At 43.0% G+C, this 22,601-nt stretch overlaps 1 protein-coding gene across 10 annotated transcripts in view, besides 5 other annotated features; it reads right to left on the bottom strand.

Annotated features, from left to right (window-relative positions):
* PHKA2 (phosphorylase kinase regulatory subunit alpha 2) overlaps positions 1-20,365 on the bottom strand; it is a 91,817-nt gene extending 71,452 nt beyond the window's left edge. For all 10 annotated transcript variants that reach the window (XR_950461.4, XR_001755697.3, NM_001440804.1 and 7 more), the window contains exon 1: positions 20,106-20,365. Coding sequence is in view for 8 of the 10 variants with exons in the window: in NM_001440804.1 (NP_001427733.1) it covers positions 20,106-20,183 (78 nt within the window). In the remaining 2 variants the exon portion in view is untranslated. The remainder of the gene's footprint in view (positions 1-20,105) is intronic.
* Positions 20,167-20,667: an enhancer, noted in NCBI's record as "H3K27ac hESC enhancer chrX:19002034-19002534 (GRCh37/hg19 assembly coordinates)". NCBI's record gives its function as "activates a minimal SCP1, AML or CMV promoter by ChIP-STARR-seq in primed H9 embryonic stem cells {active_cell/tissue: H9 hESC(primed)}" and the evidence as "EXISTENCE:reporter gene assay evidence [ECO:0000049][PMID:30033119]".
* Positions 20,167-21,168: a biological region, named in NCBI's record as "H3K27ac hESC enhancer GRCh37_chrX:19002034-19002534".
* Positions 20,360-21,049: a silencer, noted in NCBI's record as "silent region_20686". NCBI's record gives its function as "represses an Ori minimal core promoter by ATAC-STARR-seq in GM12878 lymphoblastoid cells {active_cell/tissue: GM12878}" and the evidence as "EXISTENCE:reporter gene assay evidence [ECO:0000049][PMID:35858748]".
* Positions 20,668-21,168: an enhancer, noted in NCBI's record as "H3K27ac hESC enhancer chrX:19002535-19003035 (GRCh37/hg19 assembly coordinates)". NCBI's record gives its function as "activates a minimal SCP1, AML or CMV promoter by ChIP-STARR-seq in primed H9 embryonic stem cells {active_cell/tissue: H9 hESC(primed)}" and the evidence as "EXISTENCE:reporter gene assay evidence [ECO:0000049][PMID:30033119]".
* Positions 21,150-21,199: an enhancer, noted in NCBI's record as "active region_29461". NCBI's record gives its function as "activates an Ori minimal core promoter by ATAC-STARR-seq in GM12878 lymphoblastoid cells {active_cell/tissue: GM12878}" and the evidence as "EXISTENCE:reporter gene assay evidence [ECO:0000049][PMID:35858748]".

Consider the following 22,601-nt stretch of genomic DNA (forward strand, 5'->3'; position numbering starts at 1 on the left):
GATGGTAGCAGCAAACTACTTATATCTAACAGTTTGCAATTCAATTTCTAGCTGGACGGCACAGAGATGAATGTTGTCATCTACCCACCAGAAATAACACAAAGTACCAATTCCCTTTTTCCCCTACCTGTGTCCCACAGGAAAATTGAAATAGCTCCTCACTGATCTCCTTGCTTCTGGTATTGGTTCCTTCCAATCCATCCTCCTGAAAGGGTGGTCACAGAAAGACCACCCTTTCTGTGTCTCTAGGTCACAGACCTAGAATTCGAAGATTTCTGCACTCCTCAGAATTCTCCAGTGCCTACAAGATAAAATCTAAATCCCTTTGATTGCCATCCAAGGCTCATGTGTTGGCTCTTCCCCTCACATCCAGCCTGATCACCTGATCACCTGACACTCCCTCCTCAGCCCCCAAGAAAACCTGAATTAGTGTTTCCTGCACACACACTGCTCTGGCACTTCCGGGCCTGTGCACACGCTTGCTCCTCCCTCTGCCTGTAAAGCTCTCCTGGCAAACTGTTCTCCTGTGGGAGCTCCCTCCTCTGCAAAGCCTTCCCTGATCTCCCAGGCCTTTGGTTCCCTTTCCTTCACTCCATGGGACAGAGGTCAGAGGCCTCAGACGAACCCTACCCTTGGTCTTTTTTCCTTTGGATTAAGAATCGCTAAGTGCATATCCCCACCTTGCTCAGTTTCGAGGGAAGAAAGTATAGTTCAATTATTCAAATAAAATACGCACAAGAGACCAGGATAAATGTTGAAAAGACATGATTTCTTACCACCACTCTCCATTGGTAAAGCAAAAAATAGAAAGTGAAAAATCCTGTTACAATAACGCCAACAACTGGTTAAATTCACTTGTACCAGAATTCTGTTCCAGCTACTGCCTTTTGAAATATTAAAGAGGAGTGGGGAAGAGCAATGCTTTACACCTGAGATGTGTTCTAAAGGAGGAATTATAATAGCATTTATTTTAAAATGATTGCATCTACAATTGAGACTACTGATTGTATAAGTAACAGTTTCTTTTTAAGTTAGTTTAAAAGATAGATTTTGTACAATTTGGTAGGTAAACCTCAGGTGGCTTGGAGAATAATCTTTAAACCATAAGCTCTAATATGCCTCATGCTTTACTTAAAGGGATCACAGGTGTGCAATTCTCACTTTCAAATAATGTATTTTTGTCTAAATTGCTGCTTATTCGATTCTCCCCTCTGGGTTTACAAACAATGCACAAGCTGCAAGCTGTCCTGGTCCGAGGTATTTGCACCATCTGACATGATGAATGATGGCCTATAGGGAAATAAACTGGGTTAGAAGCCAAGCATTGCAGGCATCCACTTGGTGCAGCTTCGTTCCAGATCCCCACGCTCATCTTAAAACTTTCGAAACTCACACAAACCGCTCTGGGCTCTTTAGCTACAATCAAACGTGTAAACGACTTTACCACTCTCCTAGGAGACTTTAATTCTTTGCCTCTCTCACTAATTCGTGTAGTAAGGAGGGAGGATTACTGAGATGTAAGTCCTGAGCCTGGTGTTGTGGAAACATACAGAACACATTCAGCTCAGGGGGGCTGTCAGTTCCCTCTTGCCGATACCTGAAATATTAAGTACTGGTGGATTACTGGGTGCTGCGCTAGTCAACTTTCAGCTGAACAGGGGTATTACAGATGTCATTATTTGATATTTTCAATTATAAGCGTGACTTTTATTCCAAATGTTTCAGGTCGGGGTTTGGGTTTGGAGCATGAAGACACCACATGTCACTCTACAATAGGGCTCTTAACCTGGGGCCTCCAGAGGATCCGCTACGAGTCCATGAATCGCCTTTCTGGGGTGTGTGTGGGGGGTGCACATTGTGGACAGGGACACGGAAGGCTACGAGACTCCTGAAATTTTTGTGCGAGCGTTTTTTCTAAGGAGAGCATTGGATATTCAGCCTCTATCAAATTCTCAAATGGATCTGTAACCCATTTGATCAAGAACCACTTCTCTAGATGTATTTTATGAACATTAATTATGTTCTCCCTACCCATTGTGAGACAGGTGTGGTATTTATTTCACTAGTTAACAGTGATATTCAAATATAAGCGACAAGGAACAATATGGCAGAACTAAGTTTAGTGGAATATTTAAATAAATAGCCTTTTAAAGTTTCACTATTTTAACACATAAAGTAAGGAGAATGCAACTTTGTTTCATATTCACAGCAATCTGGTGTATCTCCACTTATCTGGCCTGGCCCAAGACAGTGCTTACACAGGGCTGTCAGCTCACGAGAAGAATTGACCTTGAAAAAGGTCCCCTCAACTCTCTTGGTGGTGGCTCTTTTGTTTTTTTTTTGTTTTTTTTTTTTTGAGATGGAGTCTTGCTCTGTCACCGAGGCTGAAGTGCATTGGCGCGATCTCGGCTCACTACAACCTCCACCTCCCGGATTCAAGCAATGCTCCTGCCTCAGCCTCCAGAGTAGCTGGGATTACAGGTGTGCGACACCACACTCGGCTAATTTTTTTTTGTATTTTTAGTAGAGACAGGGTTTCACCATGTTGGCCAGGCTGGTCTTGAGCTCCTGACCTCAAGTGATCCCCCCGCCTTGGCCTCCCAAAGTGCTGAGATTACAGGCGTGAGCCACCATGTCTGGCCCGTTGGGGTTCTTTAACTGTAAAAGGCAACTAAGTGATCTGACTAGATCTTTTTGATCCCTGCAAAGCTTGAAACAATTCCAAATCTCTCCCTTGTGTGAGTTATTGCAGTCCTTGATTTGTAAATGGAGGATTTGAGCACTTTTTTTCTATGAATTACTCAAATGTTTTCATCTGACACTAAATTATTTAAACGCTGTCCAGAAAAGAGCAAAAGCCTTCCTCCTGGCTGTCCCCAAAAAGAGCTGAAGTAGGAGGTGCAGAAGGCAGGGCCCTGGGTTATCCCAGGAGGGGGAAAATGTTATCTATGGAGTGATCCCTTTAACACAAAGACCAGACAACCACCTGTCAGCCAGTCCCTGTCTAACTAGGCACTAAGAATGTCACCTCTGCCCCAATTGGACCCAGTGCTGCCCGAAATGCTGGAGCTGGTCCCTGGAGAAGGGCACTTTGGCTTCAGCGGGGAGAAGTACAGGGAAGGGACTGACTGGATGCAGGAAAAAGACGGGAGGGGAAGCTACTGCAGGAGGAGGGACGGCGAGGCTGGTGGCTCAGACAAGAATGGTGGTGGTGACAGAGGAACAGAGGCAGCAGGTGGGCTTGAGGAATGTTTAGGGTGTAAAATCAACAGGGCTTGGTGATGGATTGGATATAGGTGGGAGAGGGGAAAAAAGGGGCCAAAAAGACTCCTAGGCTGCCGACTGGGTGGTGGTGCCAGACTTGTTGGCAAAGATCTTGGGTTTGCTGGAAGGAATGAGAAACTGGGGGTGGCTTTCTCTCATTTTCTCCTGGGGTCACTCTTGACAGAGAGGCAAAGTTTTCAAGTCAGTGGAGCCTGTTACTAAGCACTGAGCAGGACCCCACTGGTGGCGAGTGAGGGGAGACTGGCAGCTGCTGGCTTGGCTGCAGCCGACTCACAGAGGCTGGCCAGTCACAGGAGGGACTCTGCATTTTGTTCTAGGAGTTACGAACACTATGGGAAGGCTGCAAGAGGAAAGTAGTGTAGTCTGGTGCCTGATGGAAGATCATGTACTACTTTGGAGAGGAGAGTCTGAAAGTGGAAGCAGGGAATGAATTAGGAGACAAGAGGGGTGGTCCAGTCAAGAGATGACGGTGGCTTCGATGAGGGTGGTGACAATGAATACAGACAGAAGTGGGTGGAGCTGAGATGTGTTTCGGTGGTCTCTATCCATTAGAAAATTCTCCCCATTCAAGGTGGGGAATTTCCTTCCATTCTAGGAGGAATCAAAGCTGACTCCTACACTATGTTTAATATAGCCTTATTTAAAAAAAAAAAAAGCCTCAAACATATAGGGAAGCAAAGAGAAAGCAATATAGCCCATATCCATATAACCATCACCCAGATCCAACAAATGAAAGCATTCTGCTGTAACTGTGCCAGTCTTTCCTTTATTAAAAGAAGAAAGAAAAAGTTAAAGATCAAGTTGAAGCCTTCCTTGTGGTCTTCTCTAATGGTTCACAAACTTCCCAGCAGTTCTCAAACTTTTTGGTCTCATGACCCCTTTACACTTAAAAATTACTGGAGACCCCCTAAGAGCTTTTGTTTATATGCATTCTAGCTACTCATATTTACCATATTGGAAATTAAAACTGAAAAATTTTTAAATATTTACTAATTCGTTAACAAAAACCTACCGCATGTCAACATAAGTAAAATTTTTGTATAATTTCAAAACAAAACATTAAAAAAAAATTTTCAGGCCGGGTGCAGTGGCTCACACCTGTAATCCCAGCACTTTGGAAGGCTGAGGCAGGAGGCTCACTTGAGGCCAGGAGTTTGAGACCAGCCTTGGCAAAATAGCGAGACCTTGTCTCTACAAAAAATTAAAAAAATTTTTTTTCAAAACAAAAAAGTAACAAGAAGAATGGCAGTGATTAACATTTTAAAAAATCTCTTTAATGTCCGGCTTAATAGAAGATAGCTATATTCTCATATATGCTTCTGTATTCACTTTGTGGCAACGTTATTTCAGTTGAAGTATATGAAGAAAATCCAGCTTCACACAGATATGCAGGGAGAACTATTTTAAGTCTTTTTGGATAATTAAGAATATTATTTGATACAATCAAAACTCAACAAGTGGACGGTTTCTTAAACGCCAGTTGAAATGTGGAATCTGAAATCATAACAATGAGCTTTATGTACTCTGACGTTTTAAAATCCATTGGTCTATCTTGAGCTTTGAATGAATCATTTGCCCATGTGTGATTTTATAACATCAAGCATTGGTCATTTGGAATACATCAGTTTAGTGAGTTATGCAGTTAGCCCAAATGTTGACATATTTCATTATCCACATTTGTTAATATCACCACCAATCTCATCAGAAAAGTTTTTTAAGTATCAGGAAGCTTTAAGTCAAGTATTAGGAGCTTTAAGTCAAGCTCACAGTGACTCACAAGCTCATACATGTTTCCCCAAAATGCCGGGCAATGGCTCACGCCTGTAATCCCAGCACTTTGGGAGGCCAAGGTGGGTGGATCACCTGAGGTCAGGAGTTCGAGACCAGTCTGACCAACATGGTAAAACCCTGTCTCTACTAAAAATACAAAAAATTAGCGGGGCGTGGTGGTGCACGCCTGTAATTCCAGCTACTTGGGAGGCTGAGGCAGAATTGCTTGAACCCGGGGGCAGAGGTTGCAGTGAGCCGAGATTGTGCCATTGCACTCCAGCCTGGGCAACAAGAGAGAAACTCTGTATATTTAAAAAAAAAAAAAAAAGTTTCCCCAAAATCTCATTTCAATTCAAAGTTTAAATTTTATCACTGGCAACAAATATTGTCAGTTGTTTTCCTTGCAGCAATAGGCTCACTTTGCTCATTTTTGAGAAAATGTCTGCCAAATGCCCAAGTCTGAATGACCATAATTTGACAACCTTTCAAGCAAAAATGGTGTCCAAGAAAAAAACCAAACTGCTAGTTCAGCTCACAGCTCAGACAACTGTGTAAATGATTTTCCTAGAAGCAGCCATCGTACTTCGGTGTGCAGCGGAAGTGCTTTATATGTACTTTTCACGTCAACACACAGAATATTTTAAAGATCAGATAAAGTTTAAACTTGAAAAAAAATTTTTAATGCTCCAAAAAGGACATTCTTAAATGCAATTGTTTTTTTTTTCCTTTTCTTCTTTTTTTTGTTTTTTATAGTATGTGACTCCTAGTCTAGTTTGGAGTCCCTGCCTTGATTTGTACTAAAGCACCAGCTTTCTATTATCACTGCAAATGTCAACACAGTGAAAAAAGGCAAATCACATCTTACGAATGGGATGAAAATAGTTTTGACCTCACAGAGATCCTGAAAGGGTGTCAGGGACCTTCGGGGATCTGGGGATCACCCTCTGTGAACTGTCACACTACTCCAAAGCCGGAGTGTATTTTTCTTGTCCATGTTTTTAAAATTTTTACAAGAAAAGTATGTGTCCATAAGCAAGATATAACCATATTTCAGGTGTTTTAAAAGTTCTACATACCTAGTAATATTCTATACTTATTGTTCTATAACTTGCTTTTTTTACTCGTCTTTAAATTTTTTAATAGACAAAAATTAGGCTGGATGTGATGGCTCATGCCTCTAACCCCAGCACTTTGGGAGGCTGAGGTGGGAGGATCGCTTAAGTCCAGGAGTTCGAGACCAGACTGGGCAATACAGTGCGACCTCGTTTCCACAAAAAATAAAAAATTAGCCAGGTGTGGAGGCATGTGCCTGTAGTCCCAGCTACTGGGGAGGCTGAGGTGGGAGGATCACTTGAGCCTGGGAGGTTGAGGCTACAAAGAGCCTTGATGGTGCCACTGCACTACAGCCTAGGTGACAGTGATACCCTGTCTCATAAAAAAAGTATATATTTATCATATACAACATGTTTTGAAATGTGTGCATTGTGGCATGGCTAAATTGAACTAATTAACATATGTATTGCCCTACATACTTATTTTTGTGGTGAGAACACTTAAAATCTACTCTCTTAGCAATTTTCAAGAATGCAATATATTGTTATTAACTACAGTCAACTATAGTCACCATTCAACTTTAAATGTTTGAGGGTTATCCAGTTCGATACATGTAAATCTGGGTTATTCATTTTAATGGCTATATAGTATTCCAGTGTAGCTAGATCTCTTATTTGTCCATTTCCAAATTGAAGAACAGTCAGATTGTTTCTAATTTTCCTCTTTTATAAACAATGCTTCAACAAATGTCCTTGTACATGTTTCCTTGGGCAGTGAGTAAGAGCACATCATTAGTGTCTATATTTAGATATGGGCCTCCTGGGTCATAGAGCATGCATTGCTTCAGTTTCACCATCTCAAATTGCTTTCCAAGGTGATTGTACCAATTAACAGTCTGTAGTTTACATCTTGCAGCATAGACCACTACCTAATCACCAATCCAATTTCCTCTTCTTCCTAGGCACTTAGTTATACTATGTTTCCCATCATCCCTTGCAGTTCCACATGGCCCTGTGCTTGAGTTTTAGCTAAAGGAATGTGAATGAAAGTAAAGTACACAATTTCCATGCCTTGCCCATAAAGCCTTCCCATGAATAATGTTTAGTACTTTCCTGGTACACCAGCGGGATGTCTACATCCAGGGTGACCTTGGAAGCTGCACACTGAAGATGGTAAGGCCACTGGTAGCCCAGGTATCTGGGTGAACCGCCCAATGACCTGGACCCACAATGGACTGTTATATGTGTACAAAATAAACTTCTGTGTTTAGCCAAAGAAATTTGGGTTTTGTTTGTCATAGCAGTTAGCCTACCTTAACTAATACATCTTCTCATGAGTGACACATGACACTTACCTCTTCTTCATAACCTTGCCAACACTTAGAATTATGCTTTAAAACTGTTGCCATCTGTCAGTCTGAATTTGTTGTTTAGATTTGCTTTACTTTCTCAGATTGCTAGTGAAGTTGAGCCATCTTTTAGCCCGTTTGCTTTCTCCTCTGCACATTGCTTGTTTACATTGTAGAATATGATACTATTATAGAAATATATAAAATTACTATAAATGATGAAGGGAATCACCTTGAAGAGATACAGTGAAGTAAGTCACCTGGATTTAAAATATTTTTTTGGTTATTCTGGTACTATGTTGCATATCTCTTCTCTTTGTAATGAAAAGACAATATTTACAAACCCAGAAGCTAAACAATGATGGTACCTGCTATTTCATCAAATTAAAACAAGCTCTCAACTAAGATGGAAACCTGAATCCAATCAATTATATAAATGGCTGACTCTCTAAGGACTCTCTTAGGATTAAGCTTTTGTATTATAGATTGCTAAATAACAAATAATTCCAGAACTTGGTAACTTAAAACCAATAAACGTCTATTATCTCTCACAGTTTCTGTGGGTCAGCAATTCAGAAGCAGCTTTAACTGGGTGGGTCTAGCTCAAAGCCTCTCATAAAGTTTCAGTCAAGATGTTGGCCAGGGCTGCAGTCATCTGAGAGCTTGACTAGGGCAGAGGATCTGCTTCCAAGACGTGATTCAAAAATCTTTCCCATTCTGTAGCTCATCTTTTAGCCTTGTTTAGATAAACTTCTTGTCATAAGAGGTTTTGCTTTTGCATATAGTTGAATTTATCAATTTATTTTATGATTTATGATTTTTATGATTAGTTTAAGAAATCATTTCCTGTCTCAAGATCATAAAAGTGTTCTATTTTAAGTTTTATAGCTTTGCTTTTCACATTTAGGTCTTTATTCCCTCTGGAATTTATTCTTGTGCACGGTCTAAGAGAAAGTCAGAATTTCTTTTTATCCATATGGACAGCCAATTGCCCTAACATTTTTTATTGAATAATCTATCCTTTCTGTTCTTGAGGTCTTTCCTCTTTTCCACTGGTCAATTTGTCTGCTGTTGTGCCAATATCACACAATTTTAATGACCTTAGATTTATGTTTTGAAATCTGGTAAGGCATTCCTTCCCCTCTTCTATTTAAAATGTGTCTTGGCTATTCTTGGCCCCTTACTACAGCATGTGAATTTTAGGATCAATTTCCCTGAAAAAGTCTCTTTGGGTTTGGATTGGCAGTCTACCGAATTTATACATTAATTTGGGGAGAATATATCTTTACAACACTGAATCTTCCCATTCAAGAACATGCTGTGTCTCTCCTCATATTTGTCTTCTTTTATGTCCCTCAATAGAGCTTTATAACTTTCTCCAGGCATGTCTAGCCCTTGCATTATATTCAACAGTTTTTGTTGCTACTGTGAATGCTTTTCTAAGAAATGATAACATTTACGAATTGTTTGTGGCTGCCATAAAGGGATACCTTGATTACTGCATATAGATCTTATATATGGGAAGCTTGCTTGAAAAATGGAAAACTCTAGTTCCAGTCACTTTGGGTTTTCTGTAGCACTTTTTTCCTGCAAATAATAATCTCCATGACTCTTATTTCCTTTTCATATCTGTTACATGGGGGCACAATTACAATGCTGAATAGAGGGGGTGATAGTGGGGATCCTTCAAGTTCTTGACTTTAAATCTTTCCCCAATACATTACTTACGAGGTTTGTAGATTTATTTTCACATTACCCTTTATCAAGATAATAAAATTCCATTGTATGCCTCATTGTCTAAGAGGTGCTTTTTCTGAGACGGAGTCTCATTCTGTCGCCCAGGCTGGAGTGCAGTAGCATGATCTTGGCTCACTGCAACCTCCACCTCCCAGGTTCAAGCAATTCTCCTGCCTCAGCCTCCCGAGTAGCTGGGATTACAGGCGCCCACCACCACATCACATCCTAATTTTTGTATTTTTAGTAGAGACGGGGTTTCACCATGTTGGCCAGGCTGGTCTCAAACTCCTGACCTCAGGTGATCCATCCGCCTCGGCCTCCCAAAGTGCTGGGATTACAGGTGTGAGCCACCGCGCCTGGCCTTAAGAGGTGCTTTTAAAATCATTAATGGATACTGGATTTTATCAAATGCTTTTCTATATCTATTGAGATGATCACACTGTTTTTCTTCTTTATTAATGTGGTAAAAATAGATTAATAGATTTTATAGTAAATTTCCTTGTATTTGGGGGATAAACCACACCTGATCATGATGTTTTTTATATACATTGCTTGATTCATTTTCTGAATATTTCACTTCATGTATTTAATATCAATATTCATAAGTGACTTTCCTCTGTAAGTTTTATGTTTTAACATGCCTTGTTTGACTATCATGGGGTATTGGCCATCTGAAAGGAGTTGAGAGCTGTCTCTCTTTATCTTTTATCTGAAACAGTTTAAGATAGGGATTATCTGTTAATCCCTTGCCCCTCTGTCTACAACAATGGAGGCATTGTACTCACTGGGCAAAATGCCAGCTCTGGCTAAATCTGCCTCTGCCAACTCTGAGGGTGCACCCATGCAGCTAAACGTGGCTAGAGAAAAACACACAGCCACACTGACTGAACTCCCTTAAATTAATGACCCTTAATGCTGTCCAACGATTATCTAGAAATCCCTTGTCCATTCATTCCCTTTTTCTCCTAAAGGACTGTTTCGTACCTTCTCTCTCAAACCTCCAATAACTCCTCCCCATCCTCACTCTCAGCTAGTGACCGTGCTTCATATTTCGCTGAGAAGGCAGAAGCAATCAAAAGGGAACATGGTGCTGGTGTGCCCTGCTTCCCTCGTTTTGATGGATGTGCTCCTCTCTAAGGTCACCTGCAATATATATGCTACAATCTATCTGCTCTCATGCACGCCAAGACTTTGCTCCTTGCATTATCAGTTTTTCCCTGTCTACTAGATCATTTCCACCAGAAACATAATTTCTCATATTTAAAAAAACCCTCCCAACCCCATATCTCCACCCAACCACTGCTCTTATTTACAGCAGAACTCTTCAGAAGAACAATTTAAACTCAGAATCTTCAGTTTCTGTCCTTCCCTTCTCTCTTGAATTCGACTTGCCCAATTTTTGTGTCTTATACTCCACATAAACTGTCGGACATGGTCACCAATAACTTCCACATCCCCAAATCTAATGGTCAACTCTTAGTCCTGATGCTACTTGACCTTGTCTCATTATTAGCCTTTTACTCATCTGATTACTTCCTCCTCCTTGAATCACTTTCCGACTTCCATCTTAGTCAGTTTGGGTTGTTTTAACAAAATACCATAGATCGGGGGGCCTAAACAACAGAAATATATTTCTTGCAATTCTGGAGGCTAGGAAATCCGAGATCAGAGTGCCAGCAGGGTCAAGTTCCAGTGAGGGCCCTCCTCTTGGCTTGCAGATGGCCACCTTCTTGCTGTGAGCTCACATGGTGGTGGTGGTGAGAACCATCTCTCTTGTGTTTCTTCTTAGAAGGGCATTAATCCCATTCATCAGGACCCTAACCCTTATGACCTAATCATCTCCCGAAGGCCCCACCGCCTAATGCCATCACATTGAGATTAGGGCTTCAACACAGGACTTTGAGGGGACACTGACCCTTGGCTGCTTTTCCTGCTACTTCCCTGATGGCTTCTTCTCATCCCCCTTGGCAGTACCTCCCCCTCATAATCTGGATCTCTCCACTTTTGGGGGTCTCCTCTTTGAACCTCATCTCTCTTCTGTCTGTACTTGTTCCTGTGATCTCGTCTCGTCTCGTCTCAGGGCCTTTTAACTTCCACACATACACCAATGACTCCCACATTTCTGTCTCTAGCCCAGACCTCTCCCCTAACTTCTAGACTCACATATTCAACTGCCTACTTATCATTTCTACTTGGATACTGATATGATTTGGCTCTGTGTCCCCACCCATATCTCATCTTGAATTGTACTCCCACAATTCCCACATGTTGTAGGAGGGACCTGGTGGGAGGTAATTGAATCATGGGGGCAGGTCTTTCCCATGCTGTTCTCGTGATAGCGAGTAAGTCTCACGGGATCTGATGGTATAAAAAGGGGAGTTTTCCTGCACAAGCACTGCTCTCTTTGCCCGCTGCCATCCACATAAGATGTGACTTGCTCCTCCTTGTCTTCCGTCATGACTGTGAGGCTTCCCCAGCCACGTGGAACTGTAAGTCCAATTAAACCTCTCTCTTTTGTAAACTGCCCAGTCTCTGGCATGTCTTTATCAGCAGCATGAAAACGGACTAATACAGATACCTAACAGACACCTTGAACTTAACAAAACTCTATCTTCCACCCTAAACTTGCTTCCCCACAATTTTCTCCATTGCAGTAAATGGTAATTCCATCCTAACAGTTGTTTAAGCCTAAAATCTTGAAGTCATTCTTGACTTTTCTTTTTTCACACACCCAATATTCACTCCACCAGTAAATCCTGTTGTCTCTACCTTCGAAATTTACTCCAAATCTCACCATTCCACACTGTCTCCACTTGAACAACCGTTGTCTGAGTCATCATGCTCCAACTGCAGAAGCTTCCTAACTGGTCATTCATTCTGCTTTGCTCCTTGGTCCCCTACAGTCAATATTCCATGCAGCCAATGGAGTGACTCTTTTCAAACATGATTTGAATGATATCATATCATTCCCCTGCTCAAAACCCTCTCAGGGCTTCCCTTCTCACTCAGAATAAAAGTCAAATTCTTTTTTTTTTTTTTTTTTTTTTTTTGAGACAAAGTCTCACTCTGTCGCTCAGACTGGAGTGTGGTGGCACGATCTCGGCTCACTGCAACCTCTGCCTCCCAGGTTCAAGTGATTCTCATGCCTCAGCCTCCCGAGTAGCTAGGATTACAGGTGCCTGCCACCACACCCGGTCAATTTTTGAATTTTTAGTAGAGACGGGGTTTCACTATGTTGGCCAGGCTGGTCTCAAACTCCTGACCTGAGGTGATCCACCTGCCTTGGCCTCCCAAAGTGCTGGGATTACAGGCGTGAGCCACTGCACCTGGCCCAAATTCTTTAACTTCCAAGATACATAAAGAAATCAATCTCTAAATGTTCCTTGGTCCTTCTCTGTAAAAGCATCTTGGACTAGGACTTTTTGGACTCATTCCATTTCTTTAAAGGTTACAGGTCTAATCAGGATTTAATTTTTTCTTAACACTGGTAACCTTTATCTGGAAAACAGCCCACTCTTAATATAGTAGTCCTTCCTTATCCGTTTTTGCTTTCTGTCATTTAGTTACTGGTGGTCAACTGTGGTCTGAAAATACTACATACAATAAAATATTTTGAGAGAGAGAGAGAGGCCACATTCACATAATTTTTATTACAGTATATTGTTTTAATTGTTCAATTTTATTATTATTGTTCTTAATCTCTTACTTATAAACTTTCTCATAGGTATCTATGTACAGGGAAAAAACACAGTTTATATATGGTTGCTACTATCTGTGGTTTCAGGCACCCACAGGGTCTGGAATGTATCCCCTGTGAATAAGGGGGACTCCTGTATTATTCATTTGTCCCTCCTCCCTCTCCTGATCCCTCTCACCAACCCTGCCAGAAGTCTGCCTATTTACTAGTCTTTTCAAAAAATCAGTTTTTCACTTTGTCCATCTTTGCTGTCTGTTTTATAGTACATTAATTGCTGCTTGTACCCTTATTTCCTTTCTTCTATTTTCTTGAATACACTCTGTTGTCCTTTTCACAACTGTGAGTTTATTAATTTTTAAATCTTTCTTCTTTTCCAATATATACATGTAAGGATATAAATTTCACTTCAAACCCCACTTTAGCTGTAATCCCATACATTTTTATTTGGAATGCTTTTGCTGTCATTCAGTTCTAACTCTTTCATAACTTTCCTTATAATTTCTTTTTTGATCCATGACATATTCAGAAGCAGGCTTGCTAAGTTTCCAAACATATATGACAGGCATCAGCAATTGTTTGTTATTGCTTTCTAATTTTCTTGCATTTTGGCCAAAAAAAAATGTGGCATGCATAAAGTTGATCTTTCAGTATTTTTTGACATTTCCCTTATATTCTAATCTGTCATCACTTTTTGAAAAAATATCTTGTGAAGCTGAAACAAGTAAGTATTTCCTATTGGTTCAGTGCGGAATTCTATGTAAGTGTACTTAATCGAATTTGTTTCTTACGGTGCTCCAATTTTCTATGGCCTAATTATTTCTCTGCTTGATCTAACAGTATCTGAGAGAGGGGGTTTAAAAACTCTCACTAAGATTATGGATTTGTCAACTTCTCCTATAGTTAGGTCAAATTTTGCTTTACATACTTTGAAGCTATGTTGTTAGTATTCTGCAGATTTAAAATTGCTATATTTTTCTTAGTGAATTAGCCCTCTGTCATCTAGCAATACCATTCTGTATCCCTAATATAATTTTTAAAAAATTTCAAAGTCAAAAAAAAAATTTTCAAAGTCTACTCGGTCTGATATTCATACATCAACGTATTTTTGGTTAGTTTTGTCCAGTATATCTTGTCCCACTATATTACTTTCAACCTCTCAGTATCCTATGTTTTAGGTTTTGTCTCTTACAAATGACACACACCTTTTAAAAAGTTTTAAAAAAATAATTTCTATTACCTGGGCCAGGTGCAGTGGCTCACGCCTGTAATCCCAACACTTTGGGAGGCCGAGGCGGGCAGATCACCTGAGGTAAGGAGTTTGAGACCAGCCTGGCCAACATGGCGAAACCCGTCTCTACTAAAAATACAAAAATTAGCTGGGCATGATGGTGACTGTAATCCCAGGTACTCGGGAGGCTGAGGCAGGAGAATTGCTTGAACTCGGGAGGCGGAGGTTGCAGTGAGCCAAGATCATGCCACTGCACTCCACCCTGGGTGACAGAGCAAGACTCTGTCTCAAAATAATAATAATAATAATAATTTCTATTATCTGGTGGATTTCAACATTTATACTCGTTGTGACAGGTGGAGATACTCACCACTATACTAATGAGGAAGACTCTTGTGATTACTAATACTGTATAGTTGGATTTATTTGCATCTTATTTTGTACTTTATATTTACCACACTTTTTTCTTTATTTCCTACCCTCCCCAGCAGCCTTTTCCTCCCTTCACTCAGATGATCAGATTTTCTTTATTCTGCAATCGTTTTTAAAGTTATATATTCCAGAGGCCTGGCGCGGTGGCTCACGCCTATAATCCCAGCACTTTGAGAGGCTGAGTAGGGCGGATCATGAGGTCAGGAGATGGAGACCATCCTGGCTAACATGGTGAAACCCCGTATCTACTAAAAATACAAAAAATTAGCCGGGCGTGGTGGCACATGCCTGTAGTCCCAGCTACTCGGGAGGCTGAGGCAGGAGAATCGCTTGAACCTGAGAGGCAGAGGTTGTAGTGAGCCGAGATCGCACCACTGCACTCCAGCCTGGGTGACAGAGCGAGACTCTGTCTCAAAAAAAAATTAAAATAAAAATAAAGTTATATATGCCACATATATTAATGGTAATGCTTAAACACAAACTCTTATCTTAAAAGCTAGGATAATACCTTCATCCTCCTTCTTAATGGGATAAGGCCCTCAGAATGCTTTCACTCCTGGCCGGGAGCAGTAGCTCACACCTGTAATCCCAGCACTTTGGGAGGCTGAGGCAGGTGGATCACTTGAGGTCAGGAGTTCAAGACCAGCCTGGCATGGTGAAACCCCACCTCTACTTAAAATACAAAAATTAGCCAGGTATGGTGGCACACACCTGTAATCCCAGCTACTCCAGAGGTTGAGGCAGGAGAATCACTGGAACCCAGGAGGTGGAGGCTGCAGTGAGGTGAGATCATGCCACCGCACTCCAACCTGGGCAACAGAGCAAGACTGTCTCAAAAAACAAACAAACAAACAAACAAAACAAAAAAACACTTTCACTCCAGTCTCTTCCTATTCTTCTGCCATATTATTATTTTCTAATACTTAATTATATCTTTTTTAACTCTCTCCCAAATTCCTCTTTATTATTGTTACTATTTGTTCCATACTCCATGTTTTATTTATTCCATTCTTCTCATTTTAAATTCCGTGGCCATTAAATAACAGTATTTACTGTCCCAGTCTCTTAGTTATTTGCTTTATTATACCAAATAATCTGTCGTTACAGTGAACACTGCCTTGACCATTGTTTTTCCTTCTGATCCATATTCTCATCACCATTTCATACTTAATACTTTTATTAAGGAGCCTTCAAACAGCTGTTAGTGAAAAAAATGTACAAAGTTCATATTTCTTACCTGAGCCAAAACAATCTAAGAATTTCTTTTAAAGGCAACAAATGTTTAAAGATACTTCCTAGAGTATATATATTTACAAAATCAAACCTGCAAAAGGACCTTTTTGTAACCATAGCTCTTTCATTCTTTGCATTAAAGATTCAAATAATATTTAGCAGCAAGTATATTTGGCAAATGACTAATGGGAAAAGTTCTTCTCTTTCACAGATACAGGAAAAGGAATTAAGATGTTAGCTTAACTAATAATTTAATTTAATAATTAATAATTAATATTAAATAATTTAATTAATTTAATAATTTCAGCCCTTACTGAAATTATGTGAACCAACTATTACCTCTAACAGAAGAATGATTGTAGGGAAAAGAAAGAGAGATCAGACTGTTACCTGTGTCTATGTAGAAAAGGAAGACATAAGAAACTCCATTTTGATCTGTACCCTGAACAACTGTTTTGCCTTGAGATGTAACTTTAGCCCCAACCTTGAGCTCACAAAAACATGTGTTGTATGCAATCAAGGTTTAAGGGATCTAGGGCTATGCAGGATGTGCCTTGTTAACAAAATGTTTACAGGCAGTATGCTTGGTAAAAGTCATCGCCATTCTCCATTCTCGATAAACCAGGGGCACAATGCACTGCGGAAAGCCGCAGGGACCTCTGCCCAGGAAAGCCGGGTATTGTCCAAGGTTTCTCCCCACTGAGATAGCCTGAGATATGGCCTCATGGGACGGGAAAGACCTGACAGTCCTCCAGCCCAACACCCGTGAAGGGTCTGTGCTGAGGAAGATTAGTAAAAGAGGAAGGCCTCTGTCTCCTGCCTGCCCCTGGGAACTGAATGTCTCTGTATAAAACCCGATTGTACATTTGTTCTATTCTGAGATAGGAGAAAAACCACCCTGTGGCAGGAGGCGAGATATGCTGGCAGCAATGCTGCTCTGTTACTCTTTACTCCACTGAGATGTTTGGGTGGAGAAAAGCATAAATCTAGCCTACGTGCACATTCAAGCATAGTACCTTCCCTTGAACTTATTTGTGACACAGATTTCTTTGCTCACATGTTTTCTTGCTGACCTTTTCCCCACTATCACCCTGTTCTCCTGCCGCATTCCCCTTGCTGAGATAGTGAAAATAGTAATCAATAAATACTGAGGGAACTCAGAGACCGGTGCCGGTGCAGGTCCTCTGTATGCTGAGCGCCGGTCTCCTGGGCCCACTGTTCTTTCTCTATACTTTGTCTTTGAGTCTTATTTCTTTTTCTCAGTCTCTCGTCCCACTCGACGAGAAATACCCACAGGTGTGGAGGGGCAGGCCGCCCCTTCAAATGGTGATTAGCTTGGCATATTTAACACAAAATGATTTCTAACAAATGAAACCAATGTAAATTGATCTCAATTTAAAAAGCAAATCAGAAACAGAGTTTAGAACTTGTTACCAGCTGACACTAAAAAAAATGCCTCCTAAACATCTGCACAAAGCTACAGCAGGTGGGGAGATACAACATACACTTTAGAAACCGTTCGTGCAGCTCATTCTTTTTTTTTTAATTGTGGTAAAATATACATAACATAAAAGTGCTCATTCGTTTTTCTAGAGTAGTTAGGGGACCTGCCTAAGATTACTCAGAGAAGGTGATGAGGCCTTGAATGGGTTAGGGCTCTACAACTGTGAACACTAGTTGTGGGGGTGAATGGGTGCAATCCTGCACTTGTGGGCGCATGGCATTTCCCGGCAGAACTGTGCTGGGAGTATCCTGGTTAGCCAGAAGAGCTTGATGACACAGGAAGGGAAAAAGAGGGCAAACATGAGGGCTACTCACCAACTACCCCCAAAATAAATACAACTAAAGGCTCACACAACTTTTTTTTAATCATTAAAATGTTGGGGAGGAAAGTCCAATCTCACAGATTTGCTTTAATGAGAAGACAATTCTTTTGCTTCTGAGGGAAGGCAAGCCTGGATAGCTGGGTTATTAGGATGACTCAGGTCCTGCTGGAAGTCTTCTACCAACAAAGACTTAAGGGTACCTTTCATGCCTTTGGCCACTGCTTGATGCAAAGGAAGGAAACTGATGAGGTATCTGTACTTAGGATCTCTTGGCATCAATGGGGAGACATATTTATGCTCAAGGAATGCGGAGCTGTAGCAGGACCTTCAGGAAAGGGCGCACCATGAGCCAGAGTACTCCTGCAAGGACCACGAGGCCTGGGCACAAACGTGTGGCCTCTATCAAAATCATAACACCACCAAGAGCACCCATTATTTACTGTTGCCCAGTAGGTGCCAGACAAGATAGTAGGCACTAATTTTTTCCTTAGAAACACTCAGTGGAAGCAAGTGTTATTATCCTCACTTTACAGATGAGGGCATGGACTCAGAAGGGATCAAGAAAGGTCACACATGTCATTCAAGGCAGAGCAGGGGATTCAAACCCAGGTCTGACAAAAGAACCAAGCTTCATCAGCTCTCCTTAAAGCCCTCTCCATCACAGTCATGAAGGGAAAGGTTTTTCAACTTGGATTTTAAAACACTTTATAGATGTAATTAGAATATATTCCAAGGAAGAAGGGGAAAAATAACCTTGATTTGCCTGCCTACTTCTTCTGCTCTCAACTTGAACATCATCTCTTCCAGGACTCCTCTACTGCTCCCACAAACTGGGCGAGGGGTCCTTCCTCAAAGCTCTCAAAATAAAGACCATCATCCTTCATGTGCAATCTCAAAAGCCAGTAAGCTCTGAAAATTTAAAGTGTTTTCGTAAGTTTGCAGCAAGCTCTTTTGGTGGCAAAAGATGAGCCGAACTAATATGAAACTCTTTTCAGCCTTTACTGAAATTATGTGAATATTCATATTCTGATGTGGAAGTAATAACCTGTTTGATGAAGGGGTGCTGCCCAGATCTGGCTGCAGTTATTATGGTATATATAGTACGTTGTACGCATATTACCTTTCTAAAAGCCAAACATTTCTGATGGGCAAACCACAACTGGTCCAAAGGGTTTCAGATAATGGACTCTGAGGCCAGGTGCAGTGGCTCATGCCTGTAATCCCAGCACTTTTGGGAGGCCGTGGTGAGAGGATGACTTGAAGTCAGGAGGTCGAGACCAGCCTGGCCAACGCAGTGAAACCCCGTCACTACTAAAAATGCAAAAATTAGCTGGGTGTGGTGGCGCACGCCTGTAGTCCCAGCTACTCGGGAGGCTGAGGCAGGATAATCGCTTGAACCCGAGAGGCAGAGGTTTCAGTGAGCCGAGATCGCGCCACTGCACTCCAGCCTAGGAGACAGAGTGAGACCCTGTCTCAAAAACAAACAAACAACAACAAAGAAAACAGATTAAGGGACTTTGGACCTATACCTTATGCATAAATGTTACTGCACTACGATCATTTATTCTTGTAACCCCAGCACTTTGTAGAGTGCTTTGCATATAACAGATACACCACAAATATTTCCTAAGTGAGGAAACAAGGCTAAGAAATTAGTTAAGAAGGGAAAATGGTCAGTGCCTTGGAAATGACCATGGCTCCCAACTTGCAGGTCAGGCCTCTAACCCCTGAATGCCACTTCCTTCGTTGACTTTGAAGGCCCTATAAATAGTTGCTGTTGATTGAGGGCAAGAAACATAGCTGCTGTCTTCACTAGGAATAAAAATAGTTCAGTGGTCTTACACTGATGGACCCACACATAATTTTAGCCCAGGAATACAAAGCATAGCAGGCAAATTCATACCTCGGACCACATGGGCAGTGTCATAGGACCCTGTGAGCTTGGGAGCCTTTGGGTCTGACCTGCTACATGCAGTGACCTTTCTAGCCTCACAATTTTCTTATCTGTAAAATAGCAACCAAAGTAGCCCCTAAGGGCTTCCCAGGTGGGTCTCTACCAAGACAGCTCATGGGAGGGACGGTAGCTGTCGCCCCACACTGCAGAGTCCTGCGTAAACTTCAGGAGCTTCTTCACTCCTGTCTACTGTTCTCATTCAGTGTAGTCTGTCCAAACCCCCCACACCTCTTCTCGTCCAAAAAAAGCAGAGTCAATGCAAAAAGAGGCAGTTTGGACCCGGGCACGGAGGCGGCTCATTCTCATCCTGAACAATGGCCAAAGAATTCTGTGAAAAGTAGCCGTAGCAACAGTTAGGTCCCCTGAATCTTAAGGAGCACGGGGTGGCAATGGGGTGGTAATCACTGGCTAGCAAGGACTAGATTCAAATAGCAAACTCTTAATTGCAAGGTCTCAGGTCACAAGAGGGCCAGACCTGGGAAGGAGAATGAGTTACATGAGAGGGTAGTTCCACGCGTTCCCTGGGGGCGGTCCCTCCTTACCTGGTAACACAGGATGGTTTGCTGCACCAGCCGCGCGTACCCGTCCAAGCGGACCCCGGAATTGCTCCTGCTCCGCATCTCCCCGAGGCTCCCAGGCCGCAGCGCCCGATCTGCCGCGTGGGCGCGGGACGTCGGGGCTGTGGCCTCCAAGCGGGTCTGGTTCCCGGACACTCACAGCCTTAGTCGGTTCTTGGGATGGGACCGGGCCGGAGGAGGTCGAGACTTTTCTAAACGCTAGCCCCAAAGTCCGGTTGGAAAGCAAGCCAACCAGAGCTCCGCGCGGCGGGGAGGCGCGGGGGCGGGGACGGGGGCTGGAGCGACGAAGGTCCCGCCTCGGCCAGGCCTGCTGGGCTCCCGACGCTCGCGGGAGCAGCGGGAAACCAGGTTCCGGGAGTGGGGCGAGGACGCCCCTGCCAAGCCCCTTTTACGTCCCGGCGGTCGCGAGGAGGTCCCCCGGGCGCGAAGAAGACGCCAGCCCACCCCAGCCGCCGGGGAGATCGCCCAGGCCGCGCTCAGCCCCGCCCCTGGCTCTGCCCCCGCCGCGGAGCGGAACCCTCCAAGTCGCGGCCTGAGGAGGAAGGAAAAGGGGGCGGCCCGGGAGAGCCGCTGCGAAATCAGCAACGGGCGGGAACCAGGTTGCCTCCCTGAGTCCCTTCTCTCCCCGGCCGGCTGCCAACCACAGCCAAGGCCAGAGAAACAGGCCCTTCTGCCGCGGCCACCTGGGCGCCTTGGACCCGCCCTCCGGACTCGCCCCCGCCCCTGCCGCGGAGTGGAACGTTTGGAACCCTGAGGGGCACAGGTAAGGGGGCGGCCCCGCCCCGCGCCCTGGAACGACCTCACGGCCCCGCCCACATCCCCGCCCCTGGCCCCACCTCCGCCGCAGAGCGGAACCCTCAGAGTCGCGGCCTCGGGGGGGACGAAAAAGGAGGCGGCCCGTGGGAGTCTAGGGGAACCCGGCTTCGGGCGGCGGACGAGTTGGCTTTCCTGCGTGGTAGTGTGGAGCCCCCCGAGACGGGTGCCAGTCCCACTCGAGGCCGGAGAAAGAGGGCCGCCTACCGCGGCCGCCTGGGCACCCCTCTGAGGGCCAAGATTGTAGTCCCACCTCTGGCCCCGTCTCCGCCGCCTAGCGGAACTGGAGTAGCGGGACCCAGCCCGGAAGAAAAAGGGGGAAGGCCCGGAGAGGTGCCCCAGCGACACCTCTGGCGCCTGTGACCCCGCCCCTAGCCACTTGGGCGCCGCTTCCTCGGGCAGGTTCGCAGTTCATCTCCCACGGGTCTACAGCTTGAAACTTGGCATTCATTATAATGTTTCGTGGCTGCTGATAACCTACAGTTCACAATCTTCGGCCTGGTATTCATTGTCCACCAAAATCTGGCCCACATAGGAATTTACTGGACAGCTAGACTAATGCAATCAATTTCCGCAAGCTCTTTTCCAGTCTCCATGCATTTACTCTATGCTTGACCCCTTCGGCCCTTCTTCCTCCTCCTTGACTAACTGAAGCCTATCTTTCCCTTAACGGCCAGCTCAGCTCCTCTATTAGCCTTCCCCATTTTCTGAATTTCTGTAGCCATTGGTTTAGTAAGAGCTTAGGACTTAGAGTCAGTTCATTTTGAGTTCAAATGTCAGTTCTGTCATTTACAAGTCGTATGACCTTTGGCATCCCGTTTTACATGTTTGAACTTAAGTGTTCTCATCTGTAAAATGGAGATAATCATAGCACCTACCTCACAGGATGACTTAAGATCAAGAGGATGAATATAAAGCATTTAGCACAAGCCTGGCTAGTAGAAAAATACTTAATAAATCATAGCTAATTTCGTTGTCACTTGGCCACAATGTATTGCCTCCTGTTGTTATTTATGTTTTCATGTGTGGATGAGGCATATTTTCCTAATTGGAATGTACGTTATTCATTGAAACAGTCTTTTGGTATCTCCTACTATGCCTGGTACAGTGTTGAGCATATAGTTGGAGCTCAATTAATGTTGCTCGCATGAGTAAATGAAATCAGTCCTGCTTAGCTGCGTTCCCTTATGTTTGGTCCTTAACCAAGTTTATATTAGATATTCCAGAACATAAATCTATGGCTTTACTCTGTCACTCAACTAAAGCACCAAACCCCACATCAGCTCACATATTACTTCATATAATACTTTGTTTTCTTAATATTGGCTTTTGAATTATGCAGTGATCCATGTGATGTGCCTCCATGAAGAATTTGCTGTGGTCTAGGGGTGAATAAAACTAGACATTGTTATCACCACTAAATGTTTTGGAATCTGAATATGTACTCTTGCTAGAATTTTCATGTATTCATCTCCATCTAAAAGCTGGGATCATTGCTTCTTTTCATTGTGGCTTTTGTTTCCATTGGGTCCTTCCTTAGGAGTTGATTTTGCAGCCATATGGGAAATAACTGATGATCTTTGCTCCTTATCTGGCATTTCCACCTAGTATAGAAACATTTTCAGTTTCCTGACTTCATTCTTCGCT

This window comes from Homo sapiens, chromosome X, assembly GCF_000001405.40.
Source record: "Homo sapiens chromosome X, GRCh38.p14 Primary Assembly".
In the NCBI taxonomy this organism is placed as follows: domain Eukaryota; kingdom Metazoa; phylum Chordata; class Mammalia; order Primates; family Hominidae; genus Homo; species Homo sapiens.